The sequence below is a fragment of the Homo sapiens genome, chromosome 10, assembly GCF_000001405.40.
Source record: "Homo sapiens chromosome 10, GRCh38.p14 Primary Assembly".
In the NCBI taxonomy this organism is placed as follows: domain Eukaryota; kingdom Metazoa; phylum Chordata; class Mammalia; order Primates; family Hominidae; genus Homo; species Homo sapiens.
The window spans coordinates 27,768,225-27,784,681 of record NC_000010.11 but is presented as its reverse complement, the minus strand read 5'-3'; the positions used below and the strand labels follow the sequence as shown (position 1 = coordinate 27,784,681).

General features: G+C 40.3%; 1 pseudogene; it reads left to right on the top strand.

Moving 5' to 3' along the window:
• Positions 629–836, top strand: RN7SKP132 (RN7SK pseudogene 132; annotated as a pseudogene).

Genomic DNA, 16,457 nt, shown 5'->3' with positions numbered 1-16,457 from the left:
AGCCAAAGGCTAAAAATGGTTATTGGGGGAAAAAAAGTAGTGGAAGAAAATTCCATACTTAAGAAAGACAAATTTTTCAGATAAAAAGATACCCACTAGCCAAAAAAAGCTGAGCAAAAATAACAAAAACATAGAGCAAGAGAGACAGTTAGGCATAGCCCGAAAAAGACGAAAAGCTACCCAAAATATCTTGCAAGGCTAATATAGCCTTGAAACCAAAACTGGACAAGTACAATAGAAGACTAAAGAAGAAACTAGTTCCACCCTGGAACATAGATGCAAAATCAAATCAGCAATGTATAAAATACTCATACAGAATGACATTAAAGAGTATGTCCCATTAATAATAAAGTGTTTCAATGTTAGAAAAAAAACCTAATTATGTGGTCAAACACCTTAAAATATTAAAGTAGAAAAACACATTTCTATCACTGAGAAAATTTTTGGGAAAATTCAAATGTGCATAATTAATAATAAACAAACCTAGAAAATTAGGAATGGAAGGTAGAAAAAACAATGAGTGTCTCCTCATCAGTCAGCTTCACTTCTTCCTAAAAGAACCTCACCTTTATTCACTGTCCTCTGATGGCAATTGTGGTGGTTCTGAAATATGTCCACAAATTCCTTACCACTCCTCTGTTCAAGAGATGGATTGCATGCTTGGTCAAAGAGGACGACCTTCCCTGATAGAGGAGGTCCCTTCTTTGGTCAAGGGTGTATGAGTAGCTGCACTCCCCTGCTAGAATCTCCAGACAAGCTCTCAAGAAGCAGAGCCTAACTAGTGACTCAATTCTGATGAATCAAGTGGAAGTGACAGTCATGAAGGGCAGTGCAGCCCCCTCCTGGATCTCTTGTGTAGTGCTTTCTTTAGGGGAAGTTAGTTGCTATGTCATGAGCAGCCCTTTGGAGAGGCTCACATGGCAAGGAACTGAAGACCCCAGCCAACAGTCCTCAAGGAACTGTGGCCCCCAGCCAAAAGCCAGCAAAGAACTGAGGCCCCAGCCAATAGACAGAAAGGAACTGAGGCCCCCAACCAATAGTCAGCAAAGAACTGAGGACCCCAGCCAACGGCCAGCAAAGAACTGAGGCCCCCCAACCAACAGGCAGCAAAGAACTGAGGCCTCCCAACCAACAGGCAGCAAAGAACTGAGGCCCCCGGCCAATATGCAGCAAGGAACTGAGGCCCCCAGCCAACAGCCAGCAAAGAACTGAGGCCCCCAGCCAATAGGCAGCAAGGAACTGAGGCCCCCAACAAGTAGCAAAGAACTGAAGACCCCAGCCAACAGTTATCAAGGAACTTAGGCACCCAACCAATAGGCAGCAAAGAACTGAGGCCCCCAGCCAATAGACAGCAAGGAACTGAGGCCCCCAGCCAATAGCCAGCAAAGAATTGAAGACCCCAGCCAACAGCAAAGAACTGAAGACCCCAGCCAATGGTCAGCAAAGAGCTGAATCCCCCAGCCAATAAGTAGCAAGAAACTGTGGCCCCCAACCAATAGGCAGCAAAGAACTAAGACACCCAACCAATAGGCAGCAAAGAACTGTGGCCCCCAGCCAACAGGCAGCAAAGAACTGTGGCCCTCAACCAACAGGCAGCAAAGAACTGAGCCCCTTAGCCAACAGCCAGCAAGGAACTGAGGTCCCTGGCCAACAGCCATGTTGGTGAACCATTTTGGAAACAGATCCTCCAGCCCCAGTCAAGCCTTCAGATGACAGCCACCCCATCTGACACCTTTACTGCAACCTCATCAAAGATCCGGAACAACAACTATGCAAATAATCAATTCCCAGATTCCAACTGTCACAAACTGAGTGAAGTAATAAAAGTTTGTCGTTCTAAGCTACTAAATTTGGAGATATCTGAGTAATTTGTTGTGTCACAATAGATAACTAAAACAGTCTTCTGGGAAAGGCTAGACTTCTCAGCCCTGAGGATAAATCTATTATTTATTTAAGTTGACAAGTAAAAATTGTACAGATGTATTGGGTACAGCATGTATTTTATTTTATTTTATTTTATTTCATTTTATTTTATTTTATTTTAATTTTATTTTTGGGGGACACAGTTACACTCTGTTTTCCAGACTGAAGTGCAGTGGTGCAATCTTTGCTCACTGCAACCTCTGCCTTCCAGGTTCAAGCCATTCTTGTGCCTCAGCCTCCTGAGTAGCTGGGAATACAGGCATATGCCACCACACTTGGCTAATTTTTTAAATTATTAGTAAAGATGGGGTTTCCCCATGTTGGCCAGACTGGTCTTGAACTACTGCCTCAAGTGATCCACCCAGCTTGGCCTCCCAAAGTGCTGGGATTATAGGTGTGAGCCACTGCACCCGACCAACATGTTGTTTTAAAATATGTATTCATTATGGAACAGTTAAATTGAGCTAATTAGCATATGTGTTACCTCATATACTTATCTTTTTTGTGGTGAGAGCACTTAAAATCTACTCTCTTAGCAATTTTCCAGAATACAATACATAGTTATTAACTATAGTCACCAGCACTTTGGTCCCAGTACTTTGGGAGGCCAAGCTGGGTGGATCACTTGAGGCAGTAGTTCAAGACCAGTCTGGCCAACATGGTGAAACCCCATCTCTACTAATAATAAAAAAATTAGCTGAGTGTGGTGTCATGCGCCTGTATTCCCAGCTACTCGGGAGGCTGAGGCACAAGAATGGCTTGAACCCGGAAGGCAGAGGTTGCAGTGAGCCAAGATTGCACATCTGCACTCCAGTCTGGAAAACAGGGTGTAATGTTGTATAATAGATCTCTTGAATTTACTCTTCCTATCTACCCAAGGGAAAATCCTCACTGAAGCATGTTAATTATGGCAATCTCATTGCTTAGACAATTTTGGATAGTGAAACATTAGTGTAAATATGCTTCTGAGGGTTGGAAAGATTTCCTCACTTCGAAAAAGTCACGAATATTCTCATTTCTGCCTCAAAAAGCTGTTGTCTGAACGAGACACTGGCAACTGTGACAGCAATTTCAAAATCATGACAAATGGCAGAAATAGCTAAATGGAACTGGAGAGCGAAAAGATGAAGACATCTAAGCCCTTGATGAATCTGCGAGGCACTGAGTTACCTCGCTCTGGAATTCCGTGAAACTCTGACATTCTCAAGAAAGGTTTTTAAAAATGCCTTTAATGTTTAAGCTCCTTTTAACTGGGCTTTCTGTAGCTTGCAGGTGAAGGCATTCTCAGGGATTCAAAAAGAAAACTCTTGTATTTGTCTCCTCATGCCGCCATCATAAAATCCCATACACTGGGTGGTTTTGTATTTACCTCTGTGTAGTTTGAAATTTCTGAGAGAGAAAGTTTTACTTTATAATAAAATAAATTTGTTAAAATGATGGATAAAGAACAATTTTCCTGATTTTAAAATAGAAAGATTCTAATATATCTACCCAAAATGAATGACTAACAATAAGGATATGTGCAGTGGTCTACATAAGACATACCTATATCTAATTTTCATGTTAATTTCAGATGGATGTATCAGTAATAGGTCACATTTTGTCAGATATACATAAGTTATTATAATCACTTCACATCTAAGTTTAGAGAAAACAAAATGTCAAATTCAATGCAAAAGATGTGAGACGTGCTTTGAAGCTTTTGAGAGTATTTTGACATTTTATTTAATTAATAAACTCAGATATTTCACAACATTGGCAAAATAAGTGTTTATATCCATTCTGTTCATGTCAGTTTGTTTCAGACATCTTAGACACTAAACATGGCTTTTAAAGAAAGTCTACTGCAAGAACTTCACCAAGACTGATACCCCAACTCCTTCCAAAAATTGTGGCTATTTCCCTTTTCTCTGTCTCTATCCCATGATGTGGAGGATCAGATTAGTACTCCCAGAAAAGGAGTAGGAGGAATGTAAAACTAGGAAAAGACAAAAATGAATTGGCCTCACCTATGGTTGTAAAAAGAGTAACCAGTTAATCAATAGCAATAATATCCATATGCATCTCAATTTTGATGAAAAATCTGTGACTTTTATTGATGCTAATTTGATTGGTTTTAAGTGCTGTTTTCCTCATAATGTTCCAGAACAAAACATGCTCTTGCTAAATAGCTGCTCTCTTTGCACGCCCCCGCACCCAAGGCCATCAATGACCGAGAAGCCTGGACACAGGCTCTCTCTATTGCGAGAACCTCAAAAACTACAGTGACCCTCCCAGGCGACTGAGACTGAGTCTACAAGGGCCATCCCAGTGGCCTGAACCATCTTGCTTTTATTCTTTAAATAGACCCATGTCTGTGGGGTAACTGTCCTTTTCTGACTCAAAACTTCTTCCAGAGCAATGTGTTTAAGTGTGTCCTACAAAAGAGGGGAGTACTTTTACCCACAAAATGGGTCAGTCAATTTAACAAGTGGGCATCTTTTGAGATATTTCAGAAATCGAGCTGGAGTTTTTCAAAGCAAGGAAATTTGGTATCGGTGCCAAGGGAGAGGATTTAACTTCTTTTTCTTACTAGTTTTTCCTTCTCTTCTTTTTATCACTATACTTCTCCTGCAACATTCCTTGAGGAAGTCGTGCTCATAAAAGACACATTCTGGTTACCTACTGGCCTCTGTGAAAGCAAACTGTGTAGTCACGACAGATCCATCTAGACAGACAAGAAAGGGTCGAAGCTCTGCAACATTTAAGGTCTCTGATCACCAAAAGGAGGCAACGATTTAAGCAATGGAAAACCCTCATCCTGCCCGGATGGATGACGGGGTTCCGAATGGCAGGCCTTATAGACGGTGTGTGAAAACTATCCCAGGGAGCTTACGAGTTTCTTCCAGGTTTAAAGGGCCTGTTAACACTGAGCCACATGAAAAAATAATACTCCGGAGGGTTTTTCCCTCCTCTCCGTGATGTGATTAACATCTGAAACTACTCAAATTATGCTCCAATGAGGAAAACTTAAACAAGAAAAAGTTCCCTTGAGCATTAAAAGAATCCACTTGTTTTGTAATCTGCACTTTTATTCCCAGAAGCCCTTTCATTCCAGGTCTAATTCTGCGGGATCTTCAAGTCCTGCATACTTTGATGTTAGTATCAATCTTATTGGTGGACAGTCACAAGTTTTTGAAGTATTTTGAAAGCAGTTTCCTGCTAATAGCACAGACACATGAGCTTTGCATGTCAATCCTTTGATGGGGAAAATATCTGACTGGATTTGGACACTCACAGTTTTGCTTATAGTTACTCTGCCAGGTTTCATCATCGGAATTTGGCAGTTTATCTTCTTTCTATCTTTCCTTTTTTTTATTTTTTAAATTTTTTTCTCTTTTGATCTCTACATGCTTATATAGAATTTTAATTTAATAATCACCTAGGCAAAAGAGATGCTACTTTGAAAATTAATTTTTTTTCAAAGACAGCCAGGCATATAGTAGAAAAATCTGCATGTTGAAGTCAGGCAAGTCAAGTGAGATCCGATGGCTTAAAGAAGCCACCAACCTCTCAGAGTTGCCTCAGTTTACTCATTCCTAAAATGGGGTTAACCAGGACTATTTAAAGCAGAATTTCTAAAACTTTATTCATATATGGAAACTTTAAGGAAAAAAAGATGCCTAGAGTGTTGATTCAAAGTGTTTTCTGATTTAATGTTGCTGAGCTATGCATAAACATAAATCTAGGTATAAGTTCTTTATGCTTATTTTAACTTCTTATACCAATTATATTAGTTGGCTACTATGGAAATAATGCTACATAACTGACAACCCCATAAATCTTGGTAAATTACAAATACAAATATTTGTGTTTTCTATTCACAGTGGGGTTTGGCTGATCTCAGCTGGGCCAGGTGAGGATTAGCACCAGGTTGCAAGTAGATTCAATTCTGCTTCCTCTGTCTTCATTGCAGGATCAGAGGCTACGTGAGGTATGGTTGTTTTGTTTTGTTTTTAATGATGTATCCCAAGACCGCAGAGGCCACGTCAAATTATGAATACACATTTAGAGTCTCTTCCTGTGTCATATTTGCTGATATTCCAGCCAAGTCCAGCCTTAATGGGTCAGGGAAGTATACTCTGCTTACCCTGGGAGAGGTACTGCAAAGACCCATGGCAAAGATCATGGAGGTATAAATCCGTAACAGGGAGAAAGGGAAGGACTGGCAGCAATAGTTCAATCCACAATTTTTCTTAGATTATCATTATTCATGGCCGGGCATGGTGGCTCACGCCTGTAATCCCAGCACTTTGGGAGGCCAAGCGGAGGTGGATCACCCGAGGACAGGAGTTTGAGACCAGACTGGCCAACATGGCAAAACCCCGTTTCTACTAAAAATACAAAAATTAGCCAGGCATGGTAGTGTATGCCTGTAATCCCAGCTGCTCAAGAGGCTGAGGCAGGAGAATCGGTTGAACCTGGGAGGTGGAGGTTGCAGTGAGCCGAGACCGGGTCACTGCACTCCAGCCTGGGTGACTCTGCCTCAAAAAAAAAAAAAAGATTATAATTATTCACTTTGCTCCTATATGTGATGTACTTCCCCTGCCCCTCAAGACACACCACAAGCCTTAACCAGTCATGGCATGGGGCTCAAAGTTCAGAATCTTGTGCTCGTCACTGAGATGTGGCTCTTCTTGATTGAGATATTCATAAACTAAAAAGACAAGGTATCTGTCAGCCTATATTCCCAACATACAAGGGTGAAACAGGGTTGAGGAATAGCAGCAAATGCCCTTCTTTTAAAAGGGGAAGACTGAGAAGATAGATAGTGATTACTGGGCCATAGGAATTCTGAAATCCTGCTATGAGAGTATTGACCAGTTTCCCCACTGGGGCAGGGATTGTTCTTTGGAGCAATGCCCCAATCCACTGTTCTCCATGTCCTAGCTCTGTCTCTGGCACAGCCTTCCTTTTCCATTATTTTTCCTGGCCACATCTGAAAAGAGTACAATCATCCCTCGGTATCCATAGGGGATTGGTTCCAGGACCCCCTCTCTTTGGATGCCAAAATCTGTGGATGCTCAAGTCCCTGATAGAAATGCCCTAGGATTTGCATATAACCTGCACACATCCTCTTACATACTTTAAATCATCTCATAGGTTACGTATAATACCTAATACAATGTAAATGCTGTGTAATAGATGTTACTATGTATAATACCTCATACATAGTAGATGCTATGGAAACAATACTGTGGTTTTTTATTCATTTTTTTATTGCTGCATTATTTTTATTGTTTTCTTTTTCAAATAATTTTGATCCATAATTGGTTGAATCCACCCATGCGGAACCCGTGGATACAGAGGGCCAACTGTATTGGAGGACGTGAGAGCAGCTCTCTCACCCACTTCCTACCTATAGAAAGCTGGGAGCCTAGAGCTCTTTTTTTCATCTCAAAGTCAGTCTCTTAATCTAGCAACATTTTTGCAAATACAGCTCTCTCAAAAACCTGTTAGGTTTTGATGCAGTTAATTTCAGACATTTCCATGTACCAAAAACCACACTTGTAATTCTTTGTGAGGCACATCTCTTTCTCTCTAAACTTTAATTACAAGTACTTTGCGTGCATCAGGCATCAGTGATCCCACTTACTGGTCCACTTAAAAGTTGTTATGTCCAGGGAAAAGTACCTACTGTTAGTTTTGTTGTGACGAGTTTGCGCCTGGATTGTGTCATTTTTCTGAGGCTATTTTCATAAGTCTTTCAAATGCAAGATATTTTTCAATTTTATATTTTACTGATTGAAAATGAGAAACAGCTTTATTCATCAACTCGACAGCTTCTGGAATTTCTAGGCTTGCTACATTCCCTATCAATTTTGCTTGAAAACTGGCCAATTCTTTTCTGAGCTTATCTCTTGTGGCACTTTTTCAAATGCTGAGAATTGCAGCCTGTTCACGTTATCAACATTCTGATTCAGAATCTCCTTGCCAGTGCCACAAGTTCATTAGATAACACCTTTTGCCTTCTCGGTCATCAAAAATGATAGTTTTGCCCAAATATTTCACTGCCCCATGGTGTTACAGTAGGTCGTCAGGCAGACATATGTAGGGCAGGAGAGGGCCCCCCACCAGGAATCTCAAGTGACCATCAGGTGATGGTCAGGCCATTGTTAACCATCTCTCTAAAAGAATGATTGGCTGCAGATGGTGCCAGGAAAAGGCAGTCTCCCAATAGATAGAAACACCTGAAATATGATCAGCAGCTTCCTGATAAGATCTCGGGAGTCGGGTGAGCGGGCTCAAGCATGCACACTAAGAGGCAAAATGGCAGAGTTTACCAGGTAAATGACCTTCTTCTAGGAACCCTTGGCTGGTAAGGAAAGAACGCCTCAAGTGAGCATGCATACAACTCCAGTAAACACACTGCACGCTCACCTCCCAAGTGTTGGCAGGCCACTGTGCATGTAGACATCCCACCCCAAAGGAAGAATCAGGAAAGAAGGGATGCAAGACCCCAGAAGTATGCCAATGTATAAGATCCCAAGTCAAAGGTCCAAACATGTCCTTGAACTCTCGTCACCTGCTTGGCCCTCTTCCAAGTATACTTTTCTTCCTTTTGTTCCTATTCTAAAGCTTTTTAATAAACTTTCACTTCTGCTCTAAAACCTGTCTTGGTCTCTCCCTCTGCCTTATGCCCCTCAGTCGCATTCTCCCTTTTGAGGAGGCAAGAATTGAGGTGGCTGAAGATCCGCACCGATTCACCACTGCTAACAATGGTACAGGTTGTCTTGTTTTCCAGCCTCCTGTAACATTCTGTTTTCTCTAAGGTGAGGTATTGCAAAGTCTAGACAAAGGGCTTGGTTGTAGAATCCTATAATGGAGACGGAGTAAAAAATGGAGGAGAATAATTTACCACACTGATATAAATCAAAGCAAAAAAATGAAACTCAAAGAAACAGTATTAACTTAATGTGACACTGTTGTCTTATATCAAATCATAGCTCAAAATATGAATATGATGCATGTTCTTTGGGATATGACTTTACTACATGTGCCAGATAATAACTAAAATATCTTAGCACTATTCTGTATTTGAACTCCTGCAAAGCCATCATTGATTTCATACACAATGAGGTTGTCTTGACCAAAATACCTCATATTATATGAAATGAATGTATATGCATGTCATTTATATATTAAGTCTGGCTTTGTGCCTTTCTCATGAGCATACTTCAGTTAAAGTAGCACAATGGACTACTTTGTGTGACACTCTCATTATAAGTGTTGATTATAAAGTAATCTTTCTGATGATTCAGAATATGTTCACATTAACCAGGCTCATATTATTTCTGACATGAAACACAAGCATTTTTCAATCTTACCACTCATGTACTACTGAGAATATGGTCTGTAGATCCCTAAGCTGAGAACATTGATCTGTAAGGTTATTGGGGGTTTTAAATGACATGACATTGTTTAAAGAGCTTAGCACAATACCTGAGTAAGTGCTCAATAACTTTTAGTTTCCTTCCCTTCCCTTTTCACTTTATAGATTAGAGTTTCATAGTCCACTGTGAGCATTAATTTGTCCAGCTCTGCCTTCAGGTGGAACATCTGTATAAATCCAGCTTTGTGAGTATTTTTAAACTGAGAGATTTCCCATCTGTTTTGGAGTTATAGCAGCCCACATTAGCCTCACTTGAGCTCTTAATGATATATGTGTGATGAAAACAAGACGTTTTAATATGTAAGTATTCATAGCCTCCTTCATTCCTGTCTGTGCAGATTCTACCCCTCCCCCCACAGTCTTAGGAATTCTTTCTTTGCCAGTCTAGTTCTTGGTATTTTTGTAATGCAAAATTAGGAGGCAGGGAGAGCAACTGGGCCAGAGATGCCTGAAGAAAAGGGAAAGGATTTTTGCTTTCTGGGTCGGCCCTGGGTTCTCTATTGTGCAGAATCCAGGTAATGAGCAAAGCAGAGATGAAACTATAAAAAGAAGCCTAATTCCAAATTGATATAAATAAGAAAGATTTTGAGGTGGAGGCAGGAGGAAGAAGACAGAAAAGCCATGCTAGATTGATGTTGGGAGAATTTGGAAAGTTTAGGGAGAGTCTGCAACAAATATGGAGCTTGTGGAAGAGAGATGATATTTCCGAAAGTATTTTTGTGGGTTATAACACAGATCCCCTTTAAAACTGAGAAATACACATAAAATATTAAAATTCCTTCTAAGTTACTGCTATGGTTTGAGTGTTTGCACCCTCCCAAACTCATGTCAAAATTTATTTCCCATTGTAACAGTAAAGGGTTGAGACCTTTAAGAGGTGATTAGGCCATGAGGGCTCTGACCTCATGAATGGATGGATTAATGGCATTTTCTTAGAAGTGGGCTTTTATAAAAGGATGAATTTGCCTCTTCTGGTTCTAATGCTCTTTAGTTCTTTCTGTGCGTGTCTCTTTCTCCCATATGATGCCTTCTGCCATTGTATGACACAGCAAAAAAGCCCTTGCCAGATGCCACTCCATCTTGGACTTCCCAGGCTCTAAAACCATGAGCCAATAAATTTCTGTTCACCATAAATTACCCAGTCTGTGCTATTCGACTTTAGCAGCACAAAATTGACCAAGTTACTTTTGGCTGCTGGAGTCTAGATTTCCTCAGATGAGACAATATACTAAGACCTATTCATATGAACAATCCCTCTACACACACACACACACACACACACACTCACTCCACACACACATACTCTTTGTATTTGGATTATATACAGTCCTTCCTAACTAAACAGCATCAGGATTACATATTTATTACTATATAAAGTTTGACAAAATTACCAGGTTCATTTTCTGGAGTGTGTTCTGTGTATTTAGTTTAAGATTTTCATATAAACATTCTTTCCAAGAATGGAAAGTTAATAATATTTATATCACTTGTGTTTCACTGTTTGTCCGACTTCAAAATGCATTTTGAAACTTTTAGGCAAGTTTATACACACACACAGAGTCACACAGTGTGGAAGATAGCTAATTTATCCCCAGGTCCCCCTCCCTCTAGCCCACATAGCTAGAGACTGCATTCTCAGCCTCCCTTGCAGGTCGTTGGCCATTGGACTAGGTTTGTGCCAGTGGAAAGTGAGCAGAAGTGACTGTGCAAGTTCTGCTGCAGGTGCTTAAGAGAAAATTGCTTGCTCTCTAGATTCATTTATTATCCCTTTCTGGTAGGCTAAATTATGGATGATAACCTGAGCCAGTTTCAACCATCTGGATGAGAACAATATCATAGGAGCAATAACATAGAAGGAAGCCAGGTCCTGACTCAATCTTTTGCCCATCCAAGCTGGTTAACCACTTCTTTCCAGACTGTGTGAGAGAGAAGTACACTTCTATTATGTTTGAACCAGTGATGTATAGAAGTATCTGCTATTGCAGTTTAGCCTACACCATAATCAATACACCTAGAAAATGTTGCTTTCAATGCGACAAAACCAAAAATACTCAAGTGGGACTTAACTAAACTAAAAATGCTTCTGCAAAGCCACATAAATAATCCACAGAGTAAACAGAAAACCTGTAGAATGGGAGAAAATATTTGCAAATTATGCCTCTGCAAAAAAACACTAATATCCAGAATCTACAAGACACTCAAACCACTCAACAACAACAAATAACCCCATTAAAAAGGGGGCAAAAAACCATCAACAGACATTTCTCAAAAGAAGATATGCAAGCAGCCAACAAACAATTGAAAACTTGATCAACATCCACTAATCATCAGAGAAATGCAAATTAAAACCACGAGATACTATCTAATACCAGTCAGAATGGCTATAATTAAAAAGTCAAAAAACAACAGATGTTGGTGTAGATGCAGAGAAATTGCATTCACAATTTGCAATTAGGAGAAATGTAAACTAGTACAGCCTCTATATAAAATGGCATGGAGATTCCTCAAAGAACTAAAAATAGAGCTACCACTCAACCCTGCAATCCCACTACTGTATATCTACCCAAAGGAAAAGAGACGATTATATTAAAAAGACTTCTGCACTCATATACTTATTACAACACCATTTACAATAGCAAAGGCATGAAATCAACCTAAGTGCTCATCAATGGATGACTAGATAAAGAAAATGTATATATACACCATGGAATAGTATACAGCCATAAAAAGAGAATAAAATCATGTCTTTTGCTACAACATGGATGAAGCAGGAGGTCATTATCCTAAATGAAATAACTCAGAAACAGAAAATCAAATAATGCGTGTTTTCACTTATAAGTGGAAGCTCAATGATGTGTACACATGGACATAAAAAATGGAAACCATAGACACTAATAATAGTGAGATCTGGGCTCAAACTTCACCATTACTCAATATACACAGGTAGCAAACCTGCATGTGTGCCTCCCGAATCTAAAATAATTTTTTTAAAAAAGAAAATGTTGCTTTCAATTTAAGGAGTTATTGACTAATGGACAATATAACATATATACTCTTCTCTGTATTGTGCAAAAATAAAATCTTTTACAGTAAAAAAATCATTGGAGGTCATGTTTGGAAATTACTATTCACTGATAGGAAAATTAATCTCTTTCTGTACAGTTATGTTGTGATTAAAGTTGAGATGGTCAAAACTAGAGCAAACAAGAGTTGCTAGAGCAACTAGAGCAAACAAACTGGTAGATGCACTATGTTATAGCAGTCATTCACTTACTTATAAAAAACACTGAAAAAATTTCAACTTCTAGTCCAGCATATTCAGAGCTCGGATGTCATCTCTCTTGGGAAAATAAGCTCCACAAACTGAAAACCAGCAACTCTTCTTAGATCCATCATAGAACTGAGATCACAAGGCAAAAACACTGCCCTCAAAATTGGAGAGATAGACAGGTGGATACAGAGAATTCCATCACACGAGGGAGGAAATTCAAGCAGAAACCTCCCTGGGCACCAGAACCAGGGTAGGAAAGCCTAAGTATAATTGACAAATTGCTGGAGGCTCAGTCTGGACAAGTTTGAGAATTAAAAACTCCTGGGGACCTGGTCTTAGAAGGAATGGGGAGCACTTTCAGGAATTTTACCTCTAAGAGCACTCAAGTTTCTCACAGTTAACATCTCAGAAAAAACTCCTCCTGCTTCCAGCAGGGTGTGAGGAAAGTAGCCATTGTGAAATAACACACAGCAAAGACAACCCCAAAGAGAAACTACTTTGTGAGAGCCTAACCTACTGAGGTTTTTCTAAACCCCAAATGATGTAGAGGAAAGGAAATCTCCAACTCCAGCCCCATCTAACCTTCCTGTCTAACCACGGCGTGGTGGTGGTGGGGGACATGAGAAGCACTTGTGAAAGTCGCAGCCCAGGGGCACAGGCTCATTTCAAGACTGAGACCTCCCCCACAGGACTAGAGGAAGCCTCCCCTCTCGACTCCTTATCTTCACACCAGTTGGGCTCCAGTATCACACAGGGGAATACAACTGAAAGAAGTGAGAGTCTCAGATGATATTTCAAGTGTAAGTCTCTAAGGGAAACCTGGAAAATACTGAGTGCCCACTATATACCAGCCAATAGCTTATCTGCCAAAGATACAGTGGTGTTAAACAAAAGCTGTCCTTTCATTGAGCTTACGTGGTAGTAGAGAAAAAAAGACCATAAACAACATAATTTCAATTAGAGGTAAGCGGTATGCAGAGACTAAGAGAAGGGAAGGCCTGGCCAGGCACAGTGGTTCATGCCTGTAATCCCAGTGCTTTGGGAGGCTGAGGTGGGAGGATTGCTTGAGGCCTGGAGTTCAAAACCAGCCTGGGCTGCATAGAGAGACTCCATTTCTATAAAAAAAAATTAAAAATTTTGGGCATAGTGGTGCATGTCTGTAGTCCTAGCTATTGGGAGTGGGGGCTGAGGTGGTAGGATCGCTTGAGCCCAGGTGTTGGAAGCTGCAGTGATCTATGATCACACCACTGAATTCCAGCTTGGGCAACAGAGCAAGGTCCTGTAGAAAGAAAGAAAAAGGAAAGAAGGAAAGAAGGACGGAAGGAAGGAGGGAAGGAACAAAGGAAGGAAGGAAAAAAGGAAGGAAGGAAAAGGGAGAGAGAAAGAAAGAGAGAGAAAGAGGGAGAAAGAAAGAAAGAAAGAGAAAAGAAAGAAGAAAGAAAAAAGAAAGAAAGAAGAAGGAAAAAGAAAGAAAGAAGAAAAGGAAGGCGGGGAGGAAGGAAGGAAGGAAGGAAAAGAAGGAAGGAAAGAAGGAAGGAAGAAAGAAAGAGAAAAAAGAAAGAAGGAAAGAAAGAAGAAGGGAGGGAAGGAGGGAGGGAGGGAAGGAAGGAGAAAGGGAGAAGTGAAGGAGGGAAGGAAGGAGAAAGGGAGAAGTGAAGGAGGAAACGAAGGAGAGAAGGAGGGAGGGAAGGAAAGGAAAGACAGAAAGAGAAAGAAAGGAAGGAGGGAGAGAAGAAGGGAGGGAGGGAAGGAGGGAAGAGAGTAAGAGAGAAAGAGAAAATGGAAGGAAAGAAGGAAGGAAGGAAGGCCTGGAAAGCAATGGGGGAAGAGGGGCACAGCTATTTTAGGTAAGATGGTCAGGGACTATCTCCCTGAGAAGGTGGCTTCTGCACTAAGGCCTGAATGAATTAGAAGCTCAATTTGCAAAAACAGAATATACATTCAGTCCTGTCATCTTTTTGCTCCTGATCCTTGAGGCATGCATGAACAAGCACAGACCCCAGAGAAGTTGACAGAAACATTGTCCAATACTCAATGTATCAGGAAGATCAAGCCCTTGATATCAGATACCTACAATTATTATAGTGTTCATGTTGGATGAGCCAAAAAAGTCATCAAATCTTGGGAGACCTGTGTCAAAAGTCTGTGGCCAAAATTTCCCCCCAAAAAAGGCTGTTAATCTTTTCTCAAAGAAGTCCTTCTGAACTTCGTGACCTTTGTTGAGATTGCCTTTCATGGGCTGATGGGTTTATTACACTGTGTGATGATCATGTTTTTTATAAAATAAAATGTTCTGTGACTAGTTAATACATCTTCCTATTTATTTGAATAATGTGACTTTATTTTATCAAATAAATAAATAAATAATTTATCAAAATAAATTTTGATATGCTAATCACATATTCTATTCCTAGCTGATTAAGTGTAGTGTCTGTAGTCATTTTTATTTCAGAAGTTGGACTTTTAGTCAACACCCTTAGTCCCTAGATTAACATTTTTTCTTTGGAAAAGTCAGATTCAAATTCTATCAAATTATATCACTTTAGCAAACATTGCTCTTTCCAGAAAATTAGACTGGATTTTATATATAATAATTTAAAATTCTGAAAACAATGGTTTTCATGCTGTTTCTGAGCAGTGGAGGTTCTATCTGTGAAACATAAATTCAATAGTGTTCTCCATGAAGTGTGATGGACGATCAGCACATTCCTTCACCATCCCAATGACAGAATTAATTTCTGTCCTTCCTGGATGTATTAGTCTGTTCTCACACTGCAAATAAAGACATACCTGAGACTGGATAATTTATAAAGAAAAAGAGGTTGAATTGACTCACAGTTCCACATGGCTGGGGAGACCTCACAATCATGGTGGAAGGCGAAAGGCACATCTTACGTGGCGGCAGGCAAGAGAGAGAATGAAAGACTTATCCACAACCATGAGAACAGTATGGAGGAAACCACCCCCATGATTCAATTATCTCCCACCAGGTCCCTCCCACAACACGTGGGAATTATGGGAGCTACAATTCAAGATGAGATGTGGGTGGGAACACAGAGCCAAACCATATCACTGGATTTACATGTAACTGGAATATTCATTTTTTATACAGTCTTCTATATTCCAAAACCAGAAGAGAGGGTATTTTAGAAGGCTAACACAACGGTTTACAAACTCTTCCCTAGAAATAGTTGTCCGGAGTTGCCTTAGGAGGTGTGTAGAAAGTAGGGGAAAAAAATCAAAGCAGAGAGAGGCTGGAGTTTGTGATATGGGAGATGGTGACTGGGCAGGACCTCTAGGCTCATATTAGCAAGAGAAATAGGCTATGTGGGGATCACATATGATCTCAGTGGCTTCACACCACAAATGCTATTTCTTGCTCCACAAACACCAGTGCAGACCAAAAAGCCTTCTCTTTCATCTGGTAAACCCATCTGCCACCATTGTATGACGCCACTATATATTAAAGACTGCTGTTGCTGCAATAAGAAAGCAGAAATGGAGGGTCCATGGAGGATTTTAGGGCCAGCTTGGAGGTGGCAGTCTCCACTGGCCAGAATGCAATCACATGGCCCCTGTCTAACTTCCAAGGATCCCAGGAAACCTCAGGAAGCACCTGGGATCCGCAGCAAGTACAAATGATTTCTGCCACAAGACCTGACCCCCACTCCAACAAGAGCAGTGATTTGTGTATTTCTTTACTTGTATGTAATATTTCCAAGGGGGATTTTATTTGAAGAGTTTCCTGGCTCAAAAGAAAAACATGTGTTAAGGCACCAATCTAATAATAAAAATGACTATTTCAAATCTAAGATGGCACAATTTAGGTAT